The sequence below is a fragment of the Homo sapiens genome, chromosome 14, assembly GCF_000001405.40.
Source record: "Homo sapiens chromosome 14, GRCh38.p14 Primary Assembly".
NCBI lineage: Eukaryota > Metazoa > Chordata > Mammalia > Primates > Hominidae > Homo > Homo sapiens.
Window position 1 is genome coordinate 58,523,352 of NC_000014.9, and position 27,995 is coordinate 58,551,346.

At 38.0% G+C, this 27,995-nt stretch overlaps 1 protein-coding gene across 26 annotated transcripts in view, besides 1 other annotated feature; it reads left to right on the forward strand.

Annotated features, from left to right (window-relative positions):
* Positions 1–27,995, forward strand: part of KIAA0586 — a 134,691-nt gene that overhangs the window by 95,952 nt on the left and 10,744 nt on the right. For 9 of the 26 annotated variants that reach the window (NM_001244190.2, NM_001244192.2, NM_001244191.2 and 6 more), the window contains 2 exons: positions 16,720–16,785; positions 24,430–27,946. The exons of 1 other annotated variant lie outside the window; for it this stretch is intronic. In NM_001244190.2, coding sequence (NP_001231119.1) covers positions 16,720–16,785; positions 24,430–24,581 — 218 coding nt within the window. In that variant the 3' untranslated portion in view covers positions 24,582–27,946. Of the gene's footprint in view, positions 1–13,655; positions 13,863–16,719; positions 16,786–20,531; positions 20,617–24,429; positions 27,947–27,995 lie in introns of those variants that run through there. 16 more of the 26 variants (NM_001244189.2, XM_024449779.2, XM_024449780.2 and 13 more) reach the window with 3 other exon arrangements.
* Positions 11,506–11,706: a silencer, noted in NCBI's record as "peak2159 fragment used in MPRA reporter construct". NCBI's record gives its function as "represses an SCP1 promoter by STARR-seq MPRAs in K562 erythroleukemia cells {active_cell/tissue: K562}" and the evidence as "EXISTENCE:reporter gene assay evidence [ECO:0000049][PMID:32103011]".

The window sequence follows — 27,995 nt, forward strand, 5'->3', positions numbered from 1 at the left end:
ACCATACACGAGGATTGTTTTGAAGACTTGCCAACATTCCAAAAACCTCTTCAGCCCCTTCATTGTTCTTAACCAGATTTCCTGAAACTTGACTTTAAAGTTTTTATTATGATTTTTAAAATAGATATCAAATTGATATAAAATATAATTTAAACTATTAGATCAATTAGTAGCCTTTTTATTCAACAGCTATTACAAATAATTTAACCTTATAATCACAGAGGTAAATACAGATTTGATAAAAATCTTTACATTTTGAAATTAATGAGGTAAATACTTAAGACTTGGGAGCAGAGGAACCGTCTCCAGTTCAACAGAACCAAAGGTTGTGATTACGATTAGGAGTAGCATCTGATCTTTTAATTGAATATTATTATTATTATTATTATTATTATTGAGATGGGGTCTTGCTATATTGCCTAGGCTGGTCTTGAGCTCTTGGGCTTAAGTGATCCTCCCACCTTGGCCTCCGTAAGTGCTGGGATTACAGGCATGAGCCACCACTCCTGGCCTCAGTATTATTTTTATTATACCACAATGCCCTCCAAATTAACTGCAAGTTGATGTATTACAAATGCTATTCTTCTAATCAACCTAGTAACGATTTACTAAAAATTTTTTAGTGATTTTAATTTTATATAAATTAGGCAGACTATTTCAAGCAGGTAACAGTGGATTATTCCACTAAACCAGTTCTACCCTTTTTGTTCATATAATGAAAATAAAAAGAGAAGCTTGATTATTTCAGTTCAGAATACATTACCCTCAAATAAATTTAGGCCAGAGATGTAGCTACGCAGCTGTCCAGTGTCATAAAAAAGCAATTCACCGGTGAGTGATCTCTCCATTCAGAAGTGTGCAGTCTTAATGTATGGCTGTAAGAAACTGTTATTTTATGATCTTTTTACTAAAAGCTTGACTGAAAACTAAAATAAATTAATAAATTAGAACAGAGAAGTGATATAGTCTTATTATGCATATAGGATGAACCACTACTAGATTGTTAGTCTCTAATACAGTATTCCTCAAACTTTAACAGACATAGAATTCTCCGGGAGTATTTATTAATAAAATGTAGATCCTAAAGTGATTGTTTGCCTGAGACGGGGCCTGGGAATGTAAACATTAAACTAGTACCCGTGGTTATTCGGATGCAGAAGAGGGAGGACCACCCTTTGAGAAACACTGATTAAGGACTCCAGTTGTTTTTGATGATTCTGTTCTATTTAGAATTAGAGGCACTTTGGAGACAAATTGCATGAGTTCAAATCCTAGCTCAGCTATTTACCAGCTGGTGACCCTGGGTGAAATACTTAACCTCTCTGTGCTATTCTTATCTGTAATATAGTATAGATATTTCATGGTAATTAAAGACATAAAATACACTTTTACTAGAACCTGACATATATTAAGAGCTATTAAAGTGTTAGCTTTGCTCATTGCAACCTCTGCCTCCCAGGTTCAAGTGATTTTCTTGCCTCAGCCTCCCAAGTAGCTGGGACTGCAGGTGCGTGCCACCACACCCAGCTATTTTTAGTAGAGATGGGGTTTCACCATGTTGGCCAGGATGGTCTCAATCTCTTGACCTTGTCATCTGCCTGCCTTGGCCTCCCAAAGTGCTAGGATAACAGGCATGAGCCACCATGCCCAGCCCTGAAAGTGTTAGCTTTTATTAGCATGACTGTTTCTAGGAAATCTCTCCTTTTTGAATACTCATGTTATAATCAGCTCTCCTTTAACAGATAGGAAATGAACCTATATTTGTCCTAAGCTTTAAAGGATGCTGGTGAGGAAATGCTAAAGATGGTACATGTTCAATATAGTGTTAGGGAGATAAATTAAGTTTCAACAAAATTGTTTCTCTTCAGTGAATATATTTAAGATTATATGTATAAGATATATCTTAGGGGCCTGGGCAAGATGGCTGAACAGGAACAATTCCATTGTGCAGCTCCCAGCGAGATCAATGCAGAAGGTGGGTGATTTCTGCATTTCCAACTGAGGTACCTGGCTCATCTCATTGGGACTGGTTAGACAGTGGGTGCAGCCCACGGAGAGCAAGCAGAAGCAGGGTGGGGCGTTGCCTCACCCGTGAAGTGCAAGGGGTCGGGGAACTCCCTCCTCTAGCCAAGTGAATCCATGAGGGACTGTGCCGTGAGAAACGGTGCATTCCGGCCCAGATACTATGCTTTTCCCATGGTCTTTGCAACCTGCAGACCAGGAGATTCCCTCAGGTGCCTACACCACGAGGGCCCTAGGTTTCAAGCACAAAACTGGGCAGCCATTTGGGCAGACACCAAGCTAGCTGCAGGAGTTTTTTTTCATACTTCAGTGGCACTTGGAATGCCAGCAAGACAGAACCATTTGCTCCCCTCGAAACAGGGCTGAAGCCAGGGAGCCAAGTGGTCTACCTCAGCGGATTCCACTGCCACGGAACCCAGCAAGGTAAAGATCCACTGGCTTCAGATTCTCACTGCCAGCACAGCAGTCTGAAGTCGACCTGGGATGCTCAAGCTTGGTCGGGGGAGGGGCGTCCGCCATTACTGAGGCTTGAGTAGGCGGTTTTCCCCTCAGTGTAAACAAAGCCGCCAGGAAGTTGGAACTGTGTGGAACCCACCATGTCTCAGCAAAGCCGCTGTAGCCAGACTGCCTCTGTAGATTCCTCTTCTCTGGGCAGGGCATCTCTGAAAGAAAGGCAGCAGCCCCAGTCAGGAGCTTATAGATAAAACTCCCATCTCCCTGGGACAGAGCACCTGTGGGAAGGGGCGGCTGTGGGTGCAGCTTCAGCAGACAGATGTTCCTGCCTGCCAGCTCTGAAGAGAGCAGCAAATCTCCCAGCATAGCGCTCAAGCTTTGCTAAGGGACAGACTGCCTCCTCAAGGGGGTCGCTGACCCCCATGCCTCCTGACTGGGAGACACCTCCTAGCAGGGGTTGACAGACACCTCATACAGGAGATCTATGACTGGTATCTGGTGGGTGCCCCTCTGGGACAAAGCTTCCAGAGGAAGGAACAGGCAGCAATCTTTGCTGTTTGGCAGACTCTGCTGGTAATACCCAAGCAAACAGGGTCTAGAGTGGACCTCTAGCAAACTCCAGCAGACCTGCAGCAGAGGGGCGTGAATGGTAGAAGGAAAACTAACAGAAAGGAATAGCATCAACATCAACATAAAAGGACACCCACGCAGAAACCCCATCTGAAGGTCACTAACATCAAAGACCAAAGGTAGATAAATCCACAAAGATGAGGAAAAACCAGTGCAAAAAGCCTGAAAATTCCCAAAACCAGAACACCTCTTCTTCAAAGGATCACAACTCCTCGCCAGCAAGGGAACAAAACTGGATGGAGAATGAATTTGATGAATTGACAGAAGTAGGCTTCAAAAGGTGGGTAATAACAAACTCCTCCGAGCTAAAGGAGCATGTTCTAACCCTTTCTATTCCTTCAAATTAGCTCTGGAAAGGACTACAGAAAGCTGGACTGTAATTTCCCTTTGCTTACTCAGGTCATCTAAACCTAAATAGTCTGAGTATATTGCCTTAATCAGAATCACATTTTCCCCTCTTTAATTCCTTCCCCCATAATAAAGGAAGCTAAGAACCTTGAAAAAAGGTTAGACAAATTACTAACTAGAATCACCAGTTTAGAGAAGAACATAAATGACCTGATGGAGCTGAAAAACACAGCTCCAGAACTTTGTGAAGCATACTCAAGTATCAATAGCCAGATTGATCAAGCGGAAGAAAGGATATCAGAGATTGAAGATCAACTTAAAGAAATAAAGCGTGAAGACAAGAATAGAGAAAAAAGAATGAAAAGGAATGAACAGTGTCTCCAAGAAATATGGGGCTATGTGAAAAGACCAAACCTACATCTGATTGGTGTACCTGAAAGTGACGGGGAGAATGGAACCAAGTTGGAAAACACTCTTCAGAATATTATCCAGAAGAACTTCCCCAACCTAGCAAGACAGGCCAACATTGAAATTCAGGAAATATAGAGCATACCACAAAGATATTCCTTGAGAAGAGCAACCTCAAGACACATAATCGTCAGATTCAACAAGGTTGAAATGAAGGAAAAAATGTTAAGGGCAGCCAGAGAGAAAGGTTGGGTTACCCACAAAAGGAAGCCCATAAGACTAACAGTGGCTCTCTCTGCGGAAACCCTACAAGCCAGAAGAGAATGGGGGGCCAATATTCAGCAGTCTTAAATAAAAGAATTTTCAACCCAGAATTTTATATACAGCCAAACTAAGCTTCATAAGTGAAGGAGAAATAAAATCCTTTAGGGACAAGCCAATGCTGAAAGATTTTGTCACCACCAGGCTTGCCTTACAAGAACTCCTGAAGGAAGCACTAGACATGGCAAGGAAAAACTTGCACCAGCCACTGCAAAAACATAGCAAATTGTAAAGACCATTGACACTATGAAGAAACTGCGTCAACTAATGGGCAAAATAACCAGCTAGCATCCTAATGACAGGATCAAATTCACACATAACAATATTAACCTTAAATGTACATGGGTTAAATGCCCCAATTAAAAGAAATAGACTAGCAAATAGGATAATGAGTCAAGACCCATCGGTGTGCTGTATTCAGGAGACCCATCTCACATGCAAAGGCACAGATAGGCTCAAAATAAAGGGATGGAGGAATGTTTACCATGCAAATGGAAAGCAAAAAAAGCATGGGATGCAATCCTAGTCTCTGATAAAACAGACTAAACCAACAAAGATAAAAAAAGACAAAGAAGGTTATTACGTAATGGTAAAGGGATCAATGCGACAAGAAGAGCTAACTATCCTAAATATATATGCACCCAATACAGGAGCGTCCAGATTCATAAAACAAGTTCTTAGAGACCTACAAAGAGACTTAGACTCCCACACAATAATAGTGGGAGACTTTAACTCCCCACTGTCAATATTAGACAGAACAATGAGACAGAAAATTAACAAGGATAATCAGGACTTGAACTCAGCTGTGGACCAAGCAGGCCTAATAGACATCTACAGAACTCTCCACCCCAAATCAACAGAGTATACATTCTTCTTAGCACCACATCACACTTATTCTAAAATTGACCATATAATTGGAAGTAAAACACTCCTCAGCAAATGCAAAAGAACAGAAATCATAATAAACAGTCTCTCAGACCACAGTGCAATCAAACTAGAACTCAGGATTAACAAACTCACTCAAAACGGCACAACTACATGGAAACTGAACAACCTGCTCCTGAGTGACTACTCGGTAAATAATGAAATTAAGACAGACATAAATAAGTGCTTTGAAACCAATGAGAACAAAGACACAACGTACCAGAATTTCTGGGACACATTTAAAGCAGTGTGTAGAGGGAAATTTCTAACACTAAATGCCCGCAGGAGAAAGCAGGAAAGATCTAAAATTGGCACCCTAACATCTCAATTAAAAGAACTAGAGAAGCAAGAGCAAACAAATTCAAAAGCTAGCGGAAGACAAGAAATAACTAAGATCAGAGCAGAACTGAAGGAGATAGAGACACACAAAACCCTTAAAAAAATCAATGAATGCAGGAGCTGGTTTTCTGAAAAGATCAACAAAATGGATAGACCACTAGCTAGACTAATAAAGAAGAAAAGAGAGAAGAATCTAATAGACATAATAAAAAATGATAAAGGGGACATCACCACTGATTTCACAAAAATACAAACCACCATCAGAGAATACTATAAACACCTCTACACAAATTAACTACAAAATCTAGAAGAAATGGATAAATTCCTGGACACATACACCCTCCCAAGACTAAACCAGGAAGAGGTCGAATCCCTGAATAGATCAATAACAAGTTCTGAAATTGAGGCAGTAATTAATAGCCTACCAACCAAAAAAAGCCCAGGACCAGACAAATTCACAGGCGAATTCTACCAGAGGTACAAAGAGGAGCTGCTGCTATTCCTTCTGAAACTATTCCAAAGAATAGAAAAAGAGAGACTGCTCCCTTACTCATTTTATGAAGCCAGCATCATCCTGATACGAAAACCTGGCAGAGACACAACAAAAAAAAGAAAATTTCAGGCCAGTATCCGTGATGATCATCAGTGTAAAAATCCTCAATAAAATACTGGCAAACCGAATCCAGCAGCACATGAAAAAGCTTATCTACCTCAATCAAGTCAGCTTCATCCCTGGGGTGCAAGGCTGGTTCAACATATGCAAATCAGTAAACATGATCCATCACATAAACAGAACCAATAACAAAAACCATGTGATTATCTCAAAAGATGCAGAAAAGGCCTTCAGTAAAATTCAACGCCCCTTCATGCTAGAAACTCTCAATAAACTATCTATTGATGAAACATATCTCAAAATAGTAAGGGCTATTTATGACAAACCCACAGCCAATATCATACTGTATGGGCAAAAGCTGGAAGCATTCCCTTTGTAAACCAGCACAAGACAAGGATGCCCTCTCTCACCACTCCGATTCAACACACTACTGGAAGTTCTGGCCAGGGCAATCAGGCAAGAGAGAGAAATAAAGCATATTCAAATAGGAAGGGAGGAAGTCAAATTGTCTCTGTTTGCAGATGACAAGATTGTATATTTAGAAAACTCCATCATCTCAGCCCAAAATCTCCTTAAGCTGATAAGCAACTTCAGCAAAGTCTCAGGGTACAAAATCAATGTGCAAAAATCACAAGCATTCCTATATGCCAATAATAGCCAAATCGTGAGTGAACTCCCATTCACAACTGCTATAAAGAGAATAAGATACTTAGGAATACAACTTACAAGAGGTTTGAAGGACTTTTTCAAGGAGAACTACAAACCACTGCTCAAGGAAATAAGGACACAAACAAATGGCAAAACATTCCATGCTTATGGATAGGAAGAATCAATATTGTGAAAAAGACCATACTGCCCAAAGTAATTTATAGATTCAGTGCTATCCCCATCAAGCTACCAATGACTTTCTTCACAGAATTAGAAAAAACTACTTTAAATTTCATATGGAACCTAAAAAGAGCCCATATAGCCAAGACAGTCCTAAGCAAAAAGAACAAAGCTGGAGGCATCACGCTACCTGACTTCAAACTATATTACAAGGCTACAGTAACCAAAACAGCATGGTACTGGTACCAAAACAGATATATAGACCAATGGAACAAAACAGAGGCCTAATAAATAACACCACACATCTACAGCCATCTGATCTTTGACAGACCTGACAGAAACAAGCAATGGGGAAAGGATTCCCTATTTAATAAATGGTGGTGGGAAAACTGGCTAGCCATATGCAGAAAACTGAAACTGGACCTCTTCCTTACACCTTATACAAAAATTAATTCAAGATGGATTAAAGACTTAAACATAAGACCTAAAACCATAAAAACCCTAGAAGAAAACCTAGGCAGTACCATTCAGGACATAGGCATGGGCAAAGACCTCATGACTAAAACACCAAAAGCAATGGCAACAAAAGTCAAAATAGACAAATGGGATCTAATTAAACTAAAGAGCTTCTGCACAGCAAAAGAAACTATCATCAGATGAACAGGCAACCTACAGAATGGGAGAAAATTTTTGCAATCTATCCATCTGACAAAGGGCTAATATCTAGAATCTGTGAGGAACTTAAACAAATTTACAAGAAAAAAACAACCCCATCAAAAAGCGGGCAAAGGGGCCGGGTGCAGTGGCTCACGCCTGTAATCCCAGCACTTTGGGCTTTGGGAGGCCAAGGCAGGTGGATCACGAGGTCAGGAGATGGAGAGCGTCCTGGCTAACACAGTGAAACCCCGTCTCTACTAAAATGTACAAAAAAAAAAAAAAATTAGCCGGGCATGGTGGTGGGCACCTGTAGTCCCAGCTACTTTGGAGGCTGAGGCAGGAGAATGGCCTGAACCCAGAAGGCAGAGCTTGCAGTGAGCCGAGATTGCACCACTGCACTCCAGCCTGGGGGACAGACCGAGACTCCGTCTCAAAAAAAAAAAAAAATAAAATAAATAAAAAATAAAAAAAAATTGGGCAAAGGATATCAACAGACACTTCTCAAACGAAGACATTTATGTGGCCAACAAAGATCTGAAAAAAGGCTCATCATCACTGCTCATTAGAGAAATACAAATCAAAACCACAATGAGATACCATCTCATGCCAGTTAGAATGGCGATCATTAGAAAGTCAGGAAACAACAGATGCTGAAGAGGATGTAGAGATATAGGAATGCTTTTACACTGTTGGTGGGAATATAAATCAACCATTGTAGAAGACATTGTGGTGATTCCTCAAGGATCTAGAACCAGAAATACCATTTGACCCAGCAATCCCTTTACTGGGTATATACCCAAAGGATTATAAATCATTCTGCTATAAAGACACATGCACACGTATATTTATTGCAGCACTATTCACAATAGCAAAGACTTGGAACCACCCCAAATGCCCATCAATGATTGACTGGATAAAGAAAATGTGGTACATACACACCATGGAATAATATGCAGCCATGTGTATTATGACTAGTTCATGTCCTTTGCAGGGACATGGATGAAGCTGGAAACCATCATTCTCAGCAAACTAACACAGGAATAGGAAATCAAACACCTCATGTTCTCACTCATAAGTGGGAGTTGAACAATGAGAACACTTGGCCACAGGGAAGGGAATATCACACACCGGGGCCTGTCGGGGGGTGGGGGATAGGGGAGGGATAGCGTTAGGAGAAATACCTAATGTAGATGATGGGTTGATGGGTGCAGCAAACCACCATGGCATGTGTGTACCTATGTAACAAACCTGCACGTTCTGCATATGTATCCCAGAACTTAATGTGTAATTGAAAAAAAAAAGGAAAAAAAAAGTATGCCTGAACATGTATGTGTATGCAGCAGACAAGAGGAGGTAAATACCTATGGCTGATAAGATGGCATCAAACTACATACCAAATTGTTACTTCACTTCTGTTTCTCTGGCTTACTTCAGAATTACCTTGCATAGGATGAAAGATTTAATGGAACAGGAAAGGGTATTTGTGTTCAGCCTCAGCTTTTAGGATGGGAGTAGCCAATGGGTATAATCTGGGCAATCCTGCATGTGCAGACTGGGAAACCCAAGTCTTATATCTCATATACCATAGTAATTTTTACAGTTCCACAGATGAAAATGAAATGAAATCAATTCCATCATTTTCAGAAAAGATATCTTTTAAGAAATCTATTATTATTATTATAAGAGCAAAATAAAACAGGATCACTCTTTTATATAATTACAAAATATTTTTAAATATGTGCATGACAAATGCTGTGTAATACACCTCATTATTTTCAGTGTCCCTGATGGGCTCCTTATCCTTGACCTAAAAATGGTGATTCCAAATTTAAGACTTTCTTGGGTATATTTTTTAATTGGAATAAATACAGAGGTCAAAATTACTCTTGGGTTTCTAAGTAAGAAGAAATGCAATTACTTGTGAATTATTTTAAGCTCGAATGCTATTTGCTCTCTGTTAAAATGGTAAAACAAATTACTCGTTATGGAATATATACCCACAAAAGTCTTTCAGTAAAATGTTATTGCTAAAATGTATCTTAAAATCTAATTGTTAGTCTTTGTTACACTTGTCAGCTCAGAATGGTCAGGAACCTTTTTTTGTGATAAGCCTCACAGAGGCTATGGAAAACAGGAGCACTTTTTTCTTGGGAATATAATTGCAGTAATACTGTACCACCTAATGGAGTCAGAAAAAACAATTTATGTAGAAATATAGTTCTGAGAGCCTTGCGATTATTGCCTTTTGTGTCATTCTACCTACATTACACAAAGTAGGACTTAGGAAGTCCTGGAAATCATATGTTGGATATTTTCTAATTACTGTGTCAGCATGATCAATCATTTTCTAAATTTGCCAGTTTCCTGAAATAGCTTAGCTTATGTTCATAGCACTTTAGAGGAAGCAGCATAAAATTAGTTTCTATTGGTGTCACAAAAGAAATGAAATATTTATCTTTGGCAAAAAGACCTGTACACCAAACTTCAATTAATGAGTACAAGAATTAGAAATCAAAACTTTGTTTAGTCTAAGGAAAAACAGTTCTTTAAACTGTAACCACATGGCTGTTTCTTGTTTGCATCAACTCTGGGTGACTGTTATTGTCTTCTGTGAATTCTCTGGGGCAGGGGCCTGACTTTGTTGAATGAGCCAATTGTTTTCATTTGTGTTGCCCATCTAGTAAGTTCCCATCTGGTTTGTATCAGACTGTTTTCACAGCCAACAACTGCTGCCTTCTCTATATCCTGACACTTCAGGGCCCCACGCTATCAAAGCACTGCTGCGATGGCCTTGCTGGCAGGGCCTATACAGCTGTGCCTTACAGCTTGGAACTATTACCCAGAGTAATGGTAACGTAGAACTTGGACTGGCCCTTATTCCCACTGGTGTCGTGTGTACAGTGAGCAGAAACCCACCCTCTCCCTCTCTCCCCCTTGCCCCGAAACTTGCTATTCAACAGAAAATCTTTAAAGCTCTTATTTTAGGATGTGGAATGGTGGTGTTTTTATTTTCTAGTGGCTTCCTGTATTTGAAAGCTCATTTTTCATTCTTTCACTCTTTCAAAAGTTACCAGGTCTGGCCTTAGGGAAGTGAACTGGTCACTATGTCACATTTAATTTTTGTTTCCATATTTAGTTAGGAATGGCTAGAGATGTCAAAACCCACTGTCAAGGCTACACAGATAATACAGTATATTTTTAGTGATAACCACAAGCCATAATTTGAGAGAAGTCTTCATATTTAGGAAGGGTTTCCATCTCAGAAAATAGATTTTCTGTGTATAGATACAGAGGCACTTAGCTTCAAACTGCTTAGTAAATATTAGGGAGTTACTTTGCCATCAGCTTTGGTAATTATCAAATGTCATTTATAAGAATGTTATAATAGTGACCTTCTCTAACAGTCTGTGGCCTGGTATAATATAGGTGTATTAGAATTATGGGTGTTATTATTGACAAAGATATGGTTGAGTTTAAGTGTAGTTATGATATTATTGCTTAATAGACATAAACTGAAACAGCAAACTTCTTTCCTACCAAAGAAAGGAATTAAATGTGAATTTACAATGTATTAAGATTTTTTAAATGCTGAAGATTAGTTAAAACTGGATTATAGTTTGTGCTTTCAATTAAATCAAGTGGCTGATTGTCGTAGAGCACGAAGTATCCTAGATAGTAAGCCCTGTGAGAGTTAAACTACAGCAACAACAAAATCTCACCTTCTGCTTCTGAATAATTTCAGTGCACTGGTATTTCAAGGTTTTAGGAAAAAAAAATAGAAAGGAATTCATCTTTGTAGTCAGCAGTACGGCCTATGACTTAGTGTAACTATTTATTTGATATTAAAGGTTACCTAGTAATGCCAGTAATTTGGCTTAATTTTATCATTGGAAAAAAGTTTAAAACTACAAAGGTATCATCTTTTAATTGCTGAAACTGCCCTATTGGTTTCTTCCATTTTAACTTTTTTATGGAAGAATAATATACATTCAGAAAAGTACACATATTGTAAGTGTACAGCTCAAAGAATTTTCACAAATACAGTACACTTGTGGAAGCAGTATCCAGCTCAAGAAATTGAACACTGCCAGACCCCCAAAGGCCCTCATGCTCCCTTTCAGCCACAGTCTCTACTCCCACAAGCATAAAGCCACTACTCTGACTTCCAACAACCTAGATTAGTTTCCTTGTTTGCACTTCACATAAATGAAATCATACGGTATGTATGGCTTCTTTCACCAGGCAAACCTATTGTAGTTTTTAAGATTCTTTTAGTTTTTAAACTATTATGGCATGCTTTTATAAAGAATGATCTGAGAGGAATTTGTTTTAGTAGCTGTTTCACAGGCTGTTCAACTAACAGGAAGTGAGTTGTAGATAAAGTTGTCTATTAAAACATAGAGTCTCTCAGTTCTCAACCAAATTTTAATGCTGGAATGTCCCTCTAGACATTCTTGCCCCTAAAAGGCAGGCACTCTCTCTGTCATAACACCAACAGGAATACAGTCAAGTACTTAAATGCTTTTTAATAAGCTTTAATAATTGAATGTACATTACTCAAGTTAATTGTGATTTGCATTCAGGATAGGTGGGTCATCTATTTTCTGAATTAACTATCAACTTCTTGGCAGTGGGATATATACTTTTATGCCGCCAGGATCCTATTTCTGAAAATGCTATTATTTAAGAGAGTTGGTATACCTACTAGAGCCAATGAGTAACTTAATTTGGAGGATCTGGCCAGGTTATTTAACAAGTACTAACTTCTTTTTATATATTTTTAAGTACCCTAATAATTTATTGGATTTTTTTTTTTTTTTTTAGTGAACTCAAATTAGTATAAAAATGTAGCTATCCTGACTGTTACTAATTTTAGATGTCTCCTTATTGAGTTTTGTTTTAAATTCTGTACATCGTCCCTTTAAAAATTTATGTTGTTTTGTGGGTTAAAAAATTCACATTTTGGGGGGCTTCATCTTTATATCCTTATTTTGCAGTTAACAGCCTTATAGTTTTATGCTGTTTTCTTAGATAATCCATAAAGAATTTGTTTAAAATAATACTATAAAGATTTACAAATGTAAGTATTACTATACCAGTGACTCTTACTGAAAATAGCATTGAAGAGTCAGAAAGTAAGCTTTGAAGCCCAAAATAATTTTTTTTTAAATATGAGTATAACTGTTATAAAGCCCAAATTTCAATTTTTTAAAAATACCAATTTTTATAAATGTCATTTTATTTTAGATTTGGGGGTACATGTGCATGTTTATTGCATGGATATATTGGTTTATTGCATGGATATATTGGTATATTGCTTAATTGTGGGGATTGGGCTTCTAATGTACCCATTACCCAAATAGTTAACATTGTACTTGATAGGTTATTTTTCAACCCTGCCCCCCCTTCGCTGGCTTTTGGAGTTTTCATCGTGTATTATTTCTATCCGTATGTCCATGTGTACCCATTGTTTAGCTCCCACTTATAAGTGAGAATATGTGGTAATGAATTTCCTGCTTCTGAGTTAGTTCACTTAGGTTAGTGGCCTATGAGCTCCATCTATGTTGCTGGAAAGGACATGATTTCATTCTTTTTTATGGCTGTGTAGTATTCCTTGAAAAATACCAATTTTTGAAAAGGATGTACACTAACTATAACATGGTTTACTTTCACTTGGCACCAGAGATAGCAACAATATTTTGAACGACTATTTGAAATGAAAAGCTAAAATATTGAAATAAGGGGGGTATTTGGAAAAGGCACAGTGTGTACAAGTAGTGCAATCCCAGTACTCCCTGTGTGCCTTCAATTAAAGCTTTTTCAGCCAGTATCCCTGCTTTTCCAGGCTGGAATTCTATTTCCAAATCTAAGTTCACTTGTTCTTTATTTTGTAGTATCTTCAAACATTTAAGTAAAAGCTAACAAGTCAGCTTTTTGTGGTAAAGATAAAAATATAAATTATATTTATAGTTAATATATAACTCAATTTCTAGTCAGCATTGCTCATTCAAAATTTCCATAGAAATGTTAATAGAACTTTATAGATCAAATAATTCCAAAATTTTCCTTCTCATCTTTTGACTTCAATACCAGTATTATGTTTTTTTTTCAGTTTTGATCAGCAGGATAAAGAATTGTAAGAACTGACAAACTTGAGAAGCAGTTTTCAAGTTGTGTTGACCTAGTTGTAGGCCGTGTTTGCTGTTTTAATCATCAACTGCAGAGCACAATACTCACCCTTCCAGTAAACCTCGTAAATCAACAAGTGAGAATTATGAAGCCACTTACTTGTTATAAGAATAAAAGTGGTCAACTCTGATACTGTGATAGTGGCTTATTTTTTTTAACTGTTAAGACGTATCACTGCAGAAGTCAAGATCCTCCCCCAGTTTTGACTGAGGAGAGTTTTATGTTTACAATAACAGCAACAACCATATGTCATAGTAACCATTTATGTACCCTTCCTTTAGGTGGCATACTCTGCTAAGATCCTTGATCAACTCAATTAGGGAGTTAATATTCTCATTACTTGCTATAAACAAGTGGTTCTTCAATGGAAGGGATCTCTGAGGTGGTATTGATACCTTTGTTTTCATGTTTATACTCTGTGTTCTCTGTAGAATTTGAAAGGGAGCTCTATTAAACTGGAGGGACCAAGCAGTAATAATTTCTGTCCCTCTCTAACTCTTGGAAGTTTAGAAACAAAGTGAGAAGTGAACACAGATAACATTTAAACATTAACATCATAGTAAGCACTTTTCTTTTTTTTTTGAGACGGAGACTCGCTCTGTCACCCACGCTGGAGTGCAGTGGCGTGATCTTGGCTCACTGCAAGATCAGCCTCCCAGGTTCACGCCATTCTCCTGCCTCAGCCTCCCGAGTAGCTGGGACTACAGGTGCCTGCCACCACGCCCGGCTAATTTTTTGTATTTTTAGTAGAGATGGGGTTTCACCGTGTTAGCCAGGATGGTCTCGATCTCCTGACCTCCTGATCTTCCCACCTTGGCCTCCCAAAGTGCTGGGATTACAGGCGTGAGCCACCGCGCCTGGCCCATAGTAAGCACTTTTAATACATTTAAAGATTTTTTAAAATTGTATCACAGTTGAGCTGGGCATGGTGACAGACACCTGTAGTTCTAGCTACTAGGAAGGCTGAGGTGGCAGGATGGCAGGATCCCTTGAGCCCAGAAGGTCGAGGCTGCAGTGAGCTATGATTGTACCACTGCACTCCAGCCTGGGTGACAGAATGAGACCCCATTTCTTTAAAAAACAAACAAACAAAACCTATATCACAGTTGTATGTTCAATTTTGGTCTATTTGTGGATATCAAATATATGTAACTTGTATTTGTCCACACTCTTGTCCTTATAAAACATTAAATTTTCTACAGTATAACAATAATAGTTTAACATGAATGTTTATCTCCAGTGAGAATGTATTGCCCAGCATAATGAAATATGGAATGCTTATAAACTTGCTCATTTAAATATCTTCTTATAAAAATCCACCCAAAAATTTTTTTAATTTTTAGTATAAATTTTTTTTAATTTTTAATTTTTGTGAGTACACAGTAGGTATATGTATTTACGGGTTACATGAGATATTTTGATACAGGCATGCAGTGTGTAATAATCACATCAGGGTAAATGGAGTATGCATCTCCTTTGTGTTACAAACAATCCAATTATACTCAGTTATTTTAAAATGTGCAATTAAATTATTTTTTACTATAGTCACCCTGTTGTGCTAGCAAATTACTGGGCCTAATTCATTCTTTCTATTTTTTTTTTTTTTTTAACCCATTAACCATTCCCACTTCCCTTCCGCTCTCACTACCATTCCCAGCCTGTGGTAACCATCCTTCTACTGCCTATCTCCATGAGTTCAATTGTTTTTTCTTTTCTTTTCCAGCCTGGCTCTGTCGTCCAGGCTGGTAGGCAGTGGCACCATCTTGGCTCACTGCAACCTCTGCCTCCTGGACTCAAGCCATCCTCCCACCTGAGCCTCCCAAGTAGCTGGGTCTACGGGCGCGAGCCACCACACCTGGCTACTTTTTGTATTTTTTGTAGAGACTAGGTCTAGCCATTTTGCCCAGGCTGGTCTTGAACTCCTAAGCTCAAGTGATCCACCTGTCTCAAACTCCCGAAGTGCTTGGATTACAGGCATGAACCACCTCACCCAGACTGTTTTTATTTTTTAGTTCCCACAAATAAATGAGAACCTTCAAAGTTTGTCTTTCTGTGTCTGGTTTATTTCACTTAATGACCTCCAGTTCTATCCATATCATTGCATAAGACAGGATCTCATCCTTTTTTATGGCTGGATAACACTCCATTGTGTACATGTACTACCTGAAATTTTTGTGAAATAAATGAAGCTTAAGAGATAACTGATTTTTATCTTAAAGAAAATTAGAAAAGAAATACTGATTATACAACGTTCTAATTTTTTTCATATCACCCTACCCCAAGAATTTGTTTGAAATAAGTTATAGAAGGTTGTTAATTGACTGTACTTCACAGCACAGATTAACAGCATCATAACGGAGCCATGCCCTTAGTATCCAGAGTGTCTTGTTGGCCTGAGACCTATATGTGCTATAGGTTTCTCTCAGTTAACTTTCCGATTCTCTGGCCATAAAAAAGATTTTTTCCTCAGCCTATTTTATCTCAATACTAAAAATTTGCTTTGCTATAATAGTGTATTGCTCTTCTGTGCTCCCTGCCAGCTTTATGGGTTGTTTCCTACGGATTGTATTGAGTAATATGCTCCAGGCTGGCCTAGGAAGAAGGGAGATTCTAAACCTCTTTTTGTAATTATTAAATTCTTAGGTAAGAGAATCTGTGAAAACTTTTCACCTTTGAAGAAATGGCCCATTAATTTCCTTTATTTGATACAAATTTCAGATTTTCTCATGACCCTTTGCTTCCCCCCCCCATCTGTGATGCATAAAGATAATAATCCGTTAAAGTATTTCCTATTGATAGTCATTAAAATTCAGCTGTTTAACTTCCTTCTTTACATTCAGGCCACTAGATCAAACTTCTGTTTACCTGGTTTTATGAGAATAACGGTGGGAGTGCATTTGGTTTGTGTTCTTTTAGTGAATAGGAATGAATCATGATTATTTCTATGCTTAACTGATTTTCTTCTGAAAAAATAAATTTTTATGTAGTTTCACCAGGTGATATGGATCGGACACAAATTGAGCTTAATCCGTACCTCACATGTGTATTTTCAGGTAAGATTTTTACTTTAAAAGTTCTTGAACTTGGAGCTGTTCAGATTTTTTCATTTCCTGATGATTCTTTCTCTCATAATAATCAACACAGTAGAAATACTAATAGCAATTTTTAATTCTTCTGTAATATCTGTAAATTCACCCCAGGTTACAAACTCAGCTCTCCAAAAGGCGTAAGTTAGGGGACAGGAAAGAAAACCTATCGTTTCGCTTTGGAAAGTTTATAAAATGATGAATTAAAAGGCTGCAGGTGTGGTATTCAGAGCACTAAGGATAAGACTCGAGATAATTCCATCTGGGGGAGGTTATTTGTTGGGACAGGACAGTGTTTAAACTTTGAAGTCATTTTAAACAAAGTGAAGCAGCTGGAACCTGGCATAAAAAGAAACAGATCTTTCACATTAACGATTGCTTTTTAGAGGAAAAAATTGGAGTTGTTTTTACAGGTGTCGGAACATTTATTCTTCCTATAAGAACTGCTTTGTTTTTACCTTAAATTATAAATTTTAAAATAAGCATTTGTCAACTCATTTGAAAAATAAAAAAAGTAATAGGATTCATATGCCTAAAAGATATTTTGGGATAAGATCATTGTAACATTTTAAGTTACCCTTTCTAAAACATGAGTAAGGAAAGAAATGTTTAATAGTGACTAATTCTGGAAAGCAAAAGTAAATAAAATATTGCATACTATACTTAACATCAAATGATGAGGCACCTTCTTCATCAAGTCTTTCATTTATTCTCAAACACTGGGGCTATGATGTTGCAAATCTGTAGGACTGGGTTAAGTATGTGAGGAGAATTGAATACAGCAGGATAGTTTAGCAGCTGCTTACACAGGAATTGGAGCAAGAGTGGATGAGTCCAGGGTGTACAGGAAAAATGCTTCAAGAACTCAATAAAACACAGCTGAAATACTGTAACATTTTCACAGACAGCTGGGAAGCAACTGCATTGCTGGAACTCAGGGCTGATTTTAAAGACAAGATCTGGTCAGTGTGAATCTAAGCAAGCTGTTAGCAAAGAGAAACCACAGACTCTCTAGGTAGGAACAAATCAATTTGGTTCAGCAGTCATTTCAAGGTCCACTGTTTGCCCAGCATCATGCTGAGGCTTTGTAGAATGCAGAGGTAAATAAGACACAGTCACTGTCCTAGTGGAGCACATCTTTAATGGAAACAACAGACTTACAAGTTAGTAACAATAATACAAGGTGATAAGGTCACAGATACTTACTGTGTACCTGCTATCCTAGTCACTCAGAACACAAAGACTGTCAATTCCAAAGACTGTCCATGCCCTTAAGGAATGCATTGTCTGGAAGAAATGACAGATACATAAATAATTACAGTGCAGTCTGGTAAGTGCTGCAATCAGAATAAGACAGCCACAATTAACAGGAGAGGAACTAATATTTCACCACTATCACTGGAAAAACAATTCAGAGAATTGAATCCTACCATTCGTTACATAACTTATTACTCAGAATAAATTATAGTTTTTCTTTTACTTAGTTTTATAAATCTGACATCCAAAAACAGAAAACATAAAATTTCTTTATGAATTTTAAATATTTTTAAAGCAAAAAATTGGAATTTCAAATGTCAAAAACGTGTATTAAATTATGTCTCAGGAAGCTTCTAACGCATGGTCTGACTCCATGGCATGCCCCACTTAAATGCATGCCAGGTTAAATGACACACTGCAAACCCATGGAATCAAGGAATAGTCTTTTTTATAGACCTGAAAACAGCTGTTGAAACAATTACATCATAGAGTAATGACTTGACTGTGCAAATTTAAAAAGTCAAACTTTAAAAGCATCAAACTATATTTAATAGAGGTAGAAGATTTATATTTGCTTTCATGGTGATTTATTAAAATGTTATGTCTTTTCTTTAAAAAAATTAATTTTTTTATGAATGTTACCCTTTTCGCCTGTTCACAGTAATCTAAGTGATGCTTTTTTTAATGTTCCCAGTCTAAAGAGTTCTCTTACAAAGTTCTAAAACTGTGATTTAGCTTGTGTAAATGAATACTTTAAATAAAAAGTTTTCAGCCGGGCGCAGTGGCTCACGCCTGTAATCCCAGCACTTTGAGAGGCCGAGGTGGGCAGATCACGGGGTCAGGAGTTTGACATCAGCCTGACCAACATGGTGAAACCCCGTCTCTACTAAAAATACAATAATTAGCTGGGTGCGGTGGCACACGCCAGTAATCCAAGCTACTCAGGAGGCTGAGGCAGGAGAATCGCTTGATCCCGGGAGGTGGAGGTTGCAGTGAGCCAAGATCATGCCATTGCACTCCAGCCTGGGTGACAGAGCGATACTCCGTCTCAAAAAAAAAAAAAATTCCCAAAATATACATTAACAAATACCTTTTGATAAGATGGTACATTTTATTGCTATAACTTCTTGATTAAAACACAGTTAACTAGAGTTTAAACTAGCATAACTATTTAGAGGCCTTCCAGAGTGTACTCTCTCTTTCCCCACTCCCTCTTTTTTTCTTAATTGTATTTCAGTGAAACATTCTTATTCCTCCTTCTAAAGCAGAGTACCTTTTGCAGCCCACCCTGAGCCTCATTGCCTCTTAGATAGTGGCTTTCCAATTACATAAAAGTAAGAGCTGATATGTTTGTGTGCTTTCTATGTTCCAGCACTATATAAAACACTTTGTATGTATTATCTGGCTGAATCCTCATAAAAACCTCTGAAGTCAGCCGGGCGTGGTGGCTCACACCTGTAATCCCAGCACTTTGGGAGGCCGAGGCAGGTGGATCACGAGATCAGGAGATTGAGACCATGGTGAAACCCCGTCTCTACTAAAAATACAAAAATTAGCCGGGCGTGGTGGCGGGCGCCTTTAGTCCCTCGCAGCTACTTGGGAGGCTGAGGCAGGAGAATGGCGTGAACTCAGGAGATGGAGCTTGCAGTGAGCCAAGATTGCGCCACTGCACTCCAGCCTGGGTGACAAAACGAGATTACGTCTCAAAAAAAAAAAAAAAAGAAAAGAAACACCTCTGAAGTTGGTACTCATATTTTTTTTATAGTTGAGAAAACTGGGGTTCAGAGAAGTTACGTAACTTTTTCAGTCTCTTATTATTTTCTATCCCTCTTACCTTTTACCTATTTTTCTTTATAGTACTTAGCACTTCCTGTTATATTAGATGTTTATTTCCTTACTTGTCATTCATCCCCTAAACCCAACAGAATGTGTGGCCAGTGAGGTTAGACCCTTTGTTTTCTTCACTGCTGTATTCTCCAGAGTCTAGAACAGTGCCAGGCACATAGTAGGTGCACAGTTGATATCTGTTGGATGGATGGATGAGCTCAGCTCTGCCCTGTTCCAGAATCCATTCTCTTATCCCCTCTGCCTTTTACTCCTTCCCATACAGAAGCCTCACATCAGCAGTCTGGGTGGGGCCATTCCTAAGTGACCTGATTTGGACCCTACTCTTGATCTGTCATGAAGAGACTTGTGCTTAAAATTTCATCACCGCTCCCAAGTTTGTTGGTGTTCTTATTACTGCCTAGTCAGTCAACCAAATCTGTCATTTCAGAGTGAAACTTGGTTCTTTATAAGTACTAAGTCTCCATCCAAAATATCTTGACCCTATTTCCACTGCCAAGGATCATTAGTTCTTCTATGGACTATTTTTATAGATCCGTCTCCCGTCTCTCTATTTTCCACACAGCTATTAGGATGATTTTTACCTCTTTTTTTTTTAACTTTTATTTTAGGTTTGGGGGTACATGTGAAGAAGGTTTCCTGTATAGGTAAACTCGGGCTGTGGAGGTTTGTCATACAGATTATTTCATCACCCAGGTATTAAGCCTAGTACCCAATAGTTATTTTTTCTGCTCCTCTTCTTCCTCTCACCCTCCAGTCTCAAGTAGATCCCAGTGTTTGTTGTTTCCTTCTTTGTGTTCATGAGTTATCATCATTTAGTTCCCACTTATAAGTGAGAACATGCAGTATTTGGTTTTCTGTTCCTGCATTAGTTTGCAAAGGATGATAGCTTCCAGTTTCATCCATGTTCCTGCAAAAGACATGATCTTGTTCTTTTTTATGGCTGCATGGTATTCCTTGGTATACATGTACCACAGTTTCTTTATCCAATTTGTCATCCATGGGCATTTAGGTTGATTCCATACCCTTCCTGTTGTGAATTGTGCCGCAGTGAACATTTGCATATATGTGTCTTTATGGTAGACTGATTTATATTCCTCTGGGTATAAACCCAGTAATGGAATTGCTGGGTCGAATGGTAGTTCTGCTTTTAGCTTCTTTGAGGAATCATTATATTACTTTCCATAATGATTGAACTAATTTACCCTCCTACCAAGTGAATAAGTGTTCCCTTTTCTCTGCAACCTCACCAGCATCTGTTATTTTTTGGCCTTTTAATAATAGCCATTCTGACTGGTGTGAGATGGTATCTCATTGTGATTTTGATTTGCATTTCTCTAATGAGCAGTGATATTGAGCTTTTATTCATATACTTGCTGGCCTCATGTATGTGTTCTTTTGAAAAGTGTTCATGTCCTTTGGGGTTGTTTTTCTCTAATACATTTGTTTTAAGTTCCTTATAGATGCTGGATATTAGACCGTAGATTTGCTCAAATTATTCCTGTGGTCAAAATTTTTTGTGACTCCTTACTGCTTTCACAGGACTTGGCCCTGGCCTTGCTTATCTCACCATTTCTCCTATCCAAACAATATTTGATATCAGAATACTCAGAGTTCCCTTAACACATTAACTTTATCTTGACTTTATTTTGTTATTCTGTTTTCCTTCATTGCCTTCCCACCATCTTTTCAGTCCCAACTCAATGGCTACCTTCCACTTCATTTAAGTATTCCTATACATGTTTATCTCCTCTACTAGGTGATGAACTTCTTGAGGATGAGGACTCTGTCTTCTTCATCTGCATATGCTCTTAGCTCCATACATGCAGAAGATTCATATAGATGTTTAGTTAGTGCATATATGCTTTTGGAGAAGCCCACTTTAATGTCTCTGGGCCTCAGTTGCCTTGTCTGTTTCTGAGAATTACTGTTAGGATCAGATAATATGATGAAAACGTATTTACAAAATTTGAATTGTTATACAAATATAAGGCAATAACTGCAAGAAATGCTTACAGTGATTGAATTCAGTATGTTCCTTGAGACTTGGAAACTTCTAGGAGATCCCTCCACCCTAAAAAGTTATAGCTCTTATTACAACATTGAGCAATTTAATCTGTAATTTTATGCACAAAGTAGAAAACGAAGGTATATACAAAGTGGTTTTGTGAAATTAAATAACAGAGAAAAGAAGAGTATTTGGTATCACTGTTGTTTTTGGCAGATGCATAACTCAAGGAATGGATTAGAAGGTAACATTAAGTTGTTTGTATGAGTGGAAAATTAATTTGCCCTAGGACTTAGTTATATCCAGTGTTAGTTTTTACTTTATTCATGAGGTGAGCTCTGATATTGGCTGCTTCCCTCAGTTATTTTGTGTATTCTGCATCATGGCTTTGTAAAATATAAGAATGTTTAAATATTATATATTATTAATGCTTGTGTCCTATACACATTTTTAAGGCCAGGCATGGTGGCTCACATCTGTAATGTCAGCACTTTGGGAGGCTGAAGAAGGAGGATCACTTGAGACCAAGGAGTTTGAGACAAAGGAGTTTGAGACCAGCCCCGGCATCATAGGGAGACCCTCCCTCTACAAAAAATTTTTAAAAATTAGCCAGGCATGGTGGTACATACCTGTGGTCCTAACTACTTGGGAGGCTGAGGTGGAAGGATCGCTTGAGCCTGTGAGGTTGAGGCTGCAGTGAGCCATGATCATGCCACTGCACTCCAGCCTAGGTGACAGAGCAAGACCCTGTCTCAAAAAAAAGATTTAAAAAATACAGTCTTTAGTGTCTATTCATTGCATTTTTATTACATCCTGACAAACTGAAAAGACTAAAATCTTTTCCTATTTGAAATATTCTATTTAAATTCACATAAAACTTGTTTTCTTTTTAAATACTATGGTATTATATTATAGTTTGTGATATTGCTGTAATGATACCAAATCTTATCTTCCTCTCTCTTTTTATAAAAAAATGAAATAGTAACAAAAAGGAGTGATACAGTATTTAAAATAGTCTTTATTAAATTTCCTTATATGAAAGGAATTTTCCTTTTACAAGTATTCTGAGCTTGGACAGCTATGATTGAGACATCATTAAAATCTCCAGAACTGTCTAATTATACTGTGGCCCCTATAAAAATTTAATGAAAAATTCTATGTTATTACTGTAGAAACTACTTGAAAAACATAAAGGGATTTTAGAAAAATTACTGTGACTCTTGTCTGAAATATGTCTTTAAGATTGTTTAAGGTAATTTATTTTTAACGTATTTATTATTCTTATGTCTATGGTAAATCCATGAAATTTTAAATGAGGATTTTTGTTTGTTTGTTTTAAATAATACCAAGTTGACAGTCTTTATATTCTTAGGCATTGTGCTTTAAACTTACAGGGGTGAATTTGGGTATAGGCAGATACATACACTTACGTAGTCAACTTTGAATTTTTTACATATTAATGAATTATTTATCCCAAACTGCCTGCCCTCTGCCACCAGCCAGCTTTCATATTAGACATTATAATATTGCTCTCAATCCATGAAGTGGGAATTTTTTTTCATATTTCATTAAATGTAGAGATAATGTCTACTTTACAGTAGAGAGAAAAGTCTATTTTACAGAGAAAAATGCTTTCCAAAGTCAAGTGTCAGTAATACTTGGATGACCACTGCAGTATGTTTTTCCTCTGACATTGCTAACCTTATATCACTTCTGTTGGCTAATAGCATAGCACCCTTAGGCACTCAGTAAATCATTATTAATGACATGCTCTTGAGTTTAAGAGTCCATTTTTTAGGAATAGGAGGAAGAGCAAAGTGCCTTGGCAACCTTTGACTTCAAATGCCTTTTACATGGCTGATATCTTACCTCTTTTAAAAAAAAAAAAAAAAGTTCTTGCTCTAACCACAAACCTTTAATTTCTGGCTATTATAGTGTTTTATTGCTCTCCTAGCTATTTACTTAATGGTAACAGTAGTAATAATGGCTATCTTTTAATGGTAATGGGAGCGCTTAGTTTTTGACCACTTACTGAGTGCTAAGCTCTGTTGTTGAGCTCTTCACTGACACTATTTTATCCTCACTATACTGTGCAAAGTAGGTACTATTATCCCATTTAACATATGGGAAACTGAACTTTTGAGTGGTAAAATAACTTGGTGACAGTCACACAGCCAGCAAGAAGTTAAGTCTGGATTTCAGAGACTAGGCCCTTAACCCGTTACATTTGATCTTACTTAGCATTTATCATCTGTATCACAACTTTTAGCTTGTATACTGATGTTGTCTCTGACTGATTAGGAGTGAGGGTGGAAAGGAGGAAGGTGTATTTTACCTCTCTGACAAGTTCTGAGCACCTTGGGACAAGAGAGTCCCTTGTAGGCAATCCTTATTTGGAATCCGCGCCCCCCCACCCCAACCTCATATTATTTCGCAAAGCATAAAGCACGTAAATACTCAGGTTACGCATGTTGAGCTGAATGAGCTTCTCCTTTGTGCAGGTGGGAAAGCAGTGCCACTCTCCGCTTCACAGATGCCCCCTGCCAAGATGTCAGTGATGCTGCCGTCAGTGAACCTCGAGGACTGCTCTCAGTCTCTGAGTCTCAGCACAATGCAGGAGGACATGGAGTCTTCGGGGGCAGATACCTTCTGAACGGGAAGAGACAGCCAGCACAGTGTTTATGCCACTGGTTTTAAAGTCATTTTACCTTGGCTTAAAACCCTCTCTCAGACTGTTTGGTTTTTGAGCATATTCTGAAAAAAAAATTCCAATATTTTAAAATAAAACAAAAAGCATAATTTGGGTATTTAAAGTTTTTAAATAAAATAAGTATAAGTCATTATAAGTCTGATTGTGAGTTGTTTCTTAGAATCCTGAGATAGCATAGAGTAGTGAAAGGGCATGGCTTTTGACATCTAGGCATTTAATCTATAGGTGTAATTATCTGTATGTATTTATAAAATTATGTAGCTCAAGGTTATTCATTCTAACATTTTTATAACAGCAAATAGAAAAAATCAAATGTCTATCAATAATAGACTGGTTTTAAAGTGATGGTACATCAGTACAATGGAATACTATGTATTACAAAAAAAAATTTAAAAAGTTTATTGATATGGAATAATCTTTGAGATGCACTGTTAAAGTGAAAAAAGCCATGTGCAAAATAGTGTGTGAACTATGCAGTTGTTGAAATTATTTAAAATGGGGTGGGGAGGAATTCAAATGTATGGTATGTCACATATTCTTACATGTATTTGCTTGTAAATATATTATATAAACAAGAAACTGCTAAGTTTGTCTCCAGGGAGTAGAATTGTTGGCTGGGTGATAGGAGAGGCTAAGTGATAGGAATCAAGGATAATCGTGGTTACTATGTATTTGAACTTCAGTTGTGATAGAAAAAAATCATCAGTGAGATTAATTTTTATATGCCTTATGTATACCATATAAACCTTTATAAACCTGTGAAACATGTAACTCTATTACCTTTTGCAACATAAATACATAAAATTAAAGGAAAATAAAAAGCATTGCTTCGTAATCAGATACATGTAGGTTCTAATCCCAATTCTGTAACTTCTTGCTTTGTGATAGGGGCCAACGAAACGCCTTCTTATCAGCTGTTTCAGATTAATGGGTTTAATACTTATTTTTGCAGAATAATGGACATCAGTGATTGTGTGTGGAGATGGGGGTGGGTAGTGCCCAGCACAGTGCTTGATACCATGTAAGTGCTCAATAAATGGTGTTGTTCTTATTATCTTGAGGGATTTCAGTACTGTATAGTAGAGGGCATAAGCACATGAAAAGAAAGGCAGCCTAGCACTAGTGAAAAAAATTTACCTCCCAGAAAAATCATTTTCTGTCACAACTGAATTTCAAACACACAGTAATTACAGTCATCCTTGACTTTTTCAGCATTTTTGTAGGTTGCTAAGTGGATCTCAGCACTGGCAGCACATTAGAACCTCTGGGAGCTTTAAAAAATACTAATGCCTGGGCCTTGTACCAAGGGATTTCAATTTAATTGATCTTGGATGGGGTCCAGCATTGGTATTAAAAAAAAAAAAAGACCTTTTCAGGTAATTTTAATGGGCACTCAAGGCTGAGAATTACTGAAGAGCAATTTAGAATTCCTTAAACTTCTAGTAGGAGCCATTGCCTGGGGATTTTTTTTCTCACTGAACATAGAAGCTGCAAGAGTCTATGGAAACTCAGAAATGTGTCAGCCTTCCACATGCACTTCCTCACAGCTTCTCTCAGGTATTTGGTTACTGGAATGTTTTAGGTTTCACTTTAGAACCCGTTTTCTTTGATATGGCCCTTTGGACAGTTCTGCTTATAACAGTTTCCTTTAAACAAGTGGAAGAAAAATTCTGCTCTGTGGATTTTAATTTGTTTTTGATATTCATCTACAAGACTCTGGGCAAGGTGAAAGCTGGAGAAATGTTGCTTAGTGCTGCTTCATTTTAAACATGACACCCCACCCCCCAACCTTGGTTTCTGGTTTTCATAGTTTTTTCTGCCTTGGAAGGATTTCAGCAAAATCTTGTTTTAGTTAAAGCATTTTTTATTTAAAGGTGTTGGTAGATTTTTCCTCCTAACCATAGAAAGCCTGCCTTTTCTAACTTTAGGGTAGAAGTGTAATCTTTGATTTATTCTACTCCCTGTGCACGTGAGCTTTTCTTTTAAAAAAAATTAGTGTCCATTCGACGGTTTCTTTTTTTTTTTTTTGAGATGGAATTTTGCTCGTTGCCCAGGCTGGAGTGCAATGGCACAATCTTGGCTCACCGCAACCTCTGCCTCCTGGTTTCAAGCGATTCTCCTGCCTTAGCCTCCTTAGTAGCTGGGATTACAGGCGTGCGCCACCATGCCCGGCAAATTTTGTATTTTTAGTAGAGATGGGGTTTCTCCGTGTTGGTCAGGCTAGTCCTGAACTCCCGACCTCAGGTGATCTGCCTGCCTCAGCCTCCCAAAGTGCTGGGATTACAGGCGTGAGCCACCGCGCCCGGCATTCATCTAGTATTTTGTTTTATAGGATTATTTCTGTTCATGGTTACTCCTGTACACATTCCTCTGCCAACCACTTCAGATTCTTTTGGAATAAGACGATGTACGTAAAAACAAACTAAATGGAACTTTTGATTTTATAAGCTTTAAAATTTTTATTTTATATTAAATTTTACAATTTCCAACTTCCGGAATAAACTATTTATGAGACATGCTATTAAGAGACTATCAAGATCAAGGCTGTTACTATTGCTGGGCTGTGACTGGACACGGTGGCTCATGCCTGTAATCCCAAGACTTTGGGAGGCCGAGGGTGGATCACTTGAGCTCAGGAGTTTGAGACCAGCCTGGGCAACATGGCAAAACCCATCTCTACCAAAAATACAAAAAATTAGCTGGTCATGGTTGCACACACCTGTAGCCCCAGCTACTCAAGAGGGTGAGGTGAGAGGATCGCTTGAGCCCAGGATGTCAAGACTGCAGTGAGCCGTGGTTGTGCCACTGCACTCCAGCCTGGGTGACAGAATGAGACCGTGTCTCAAAAAAAAAAAAAAAAAAATTGCTGAGCTATCATGCCTTAACACTAGGTAACGTGTTTAAAATGTTCCTTTCTGCTGGGTGCGGGTGGCTCACACCTGTAATCCCAGCACTTTGGGAGGCTGAGGCAGGCAGATCACCCAAGGTTAGGAGTTCAAGACCAGTCTGGCCAACATGGTGAAACCCCATCTCTACTAAAAATACAAAAATTAGCCAGGCATGGTGGCGTGTGCCTGTAATCCCAGCTACTTGGGAGGCTGAGGCAGGAGAATTGCTTCAACCCAGGAGGCAGAGGTGGCAACGAGCTGAGACTGCACCACTTAACTCCAGCCTGGGCAACAGAGTAAGACTCTGTCTCAAAAATAAATAAATAAATAAATAAAATGTTCCTCTGTTTTAAATCCTAAATTCGTTCTTTGTATACTTTAATAGAATCTTGAATAAATATTTTTATTCTTAGAAGATTATTTCAATATGTTTCTTATTGCTTACAGATTTCTGGTTCCTTGATAACTT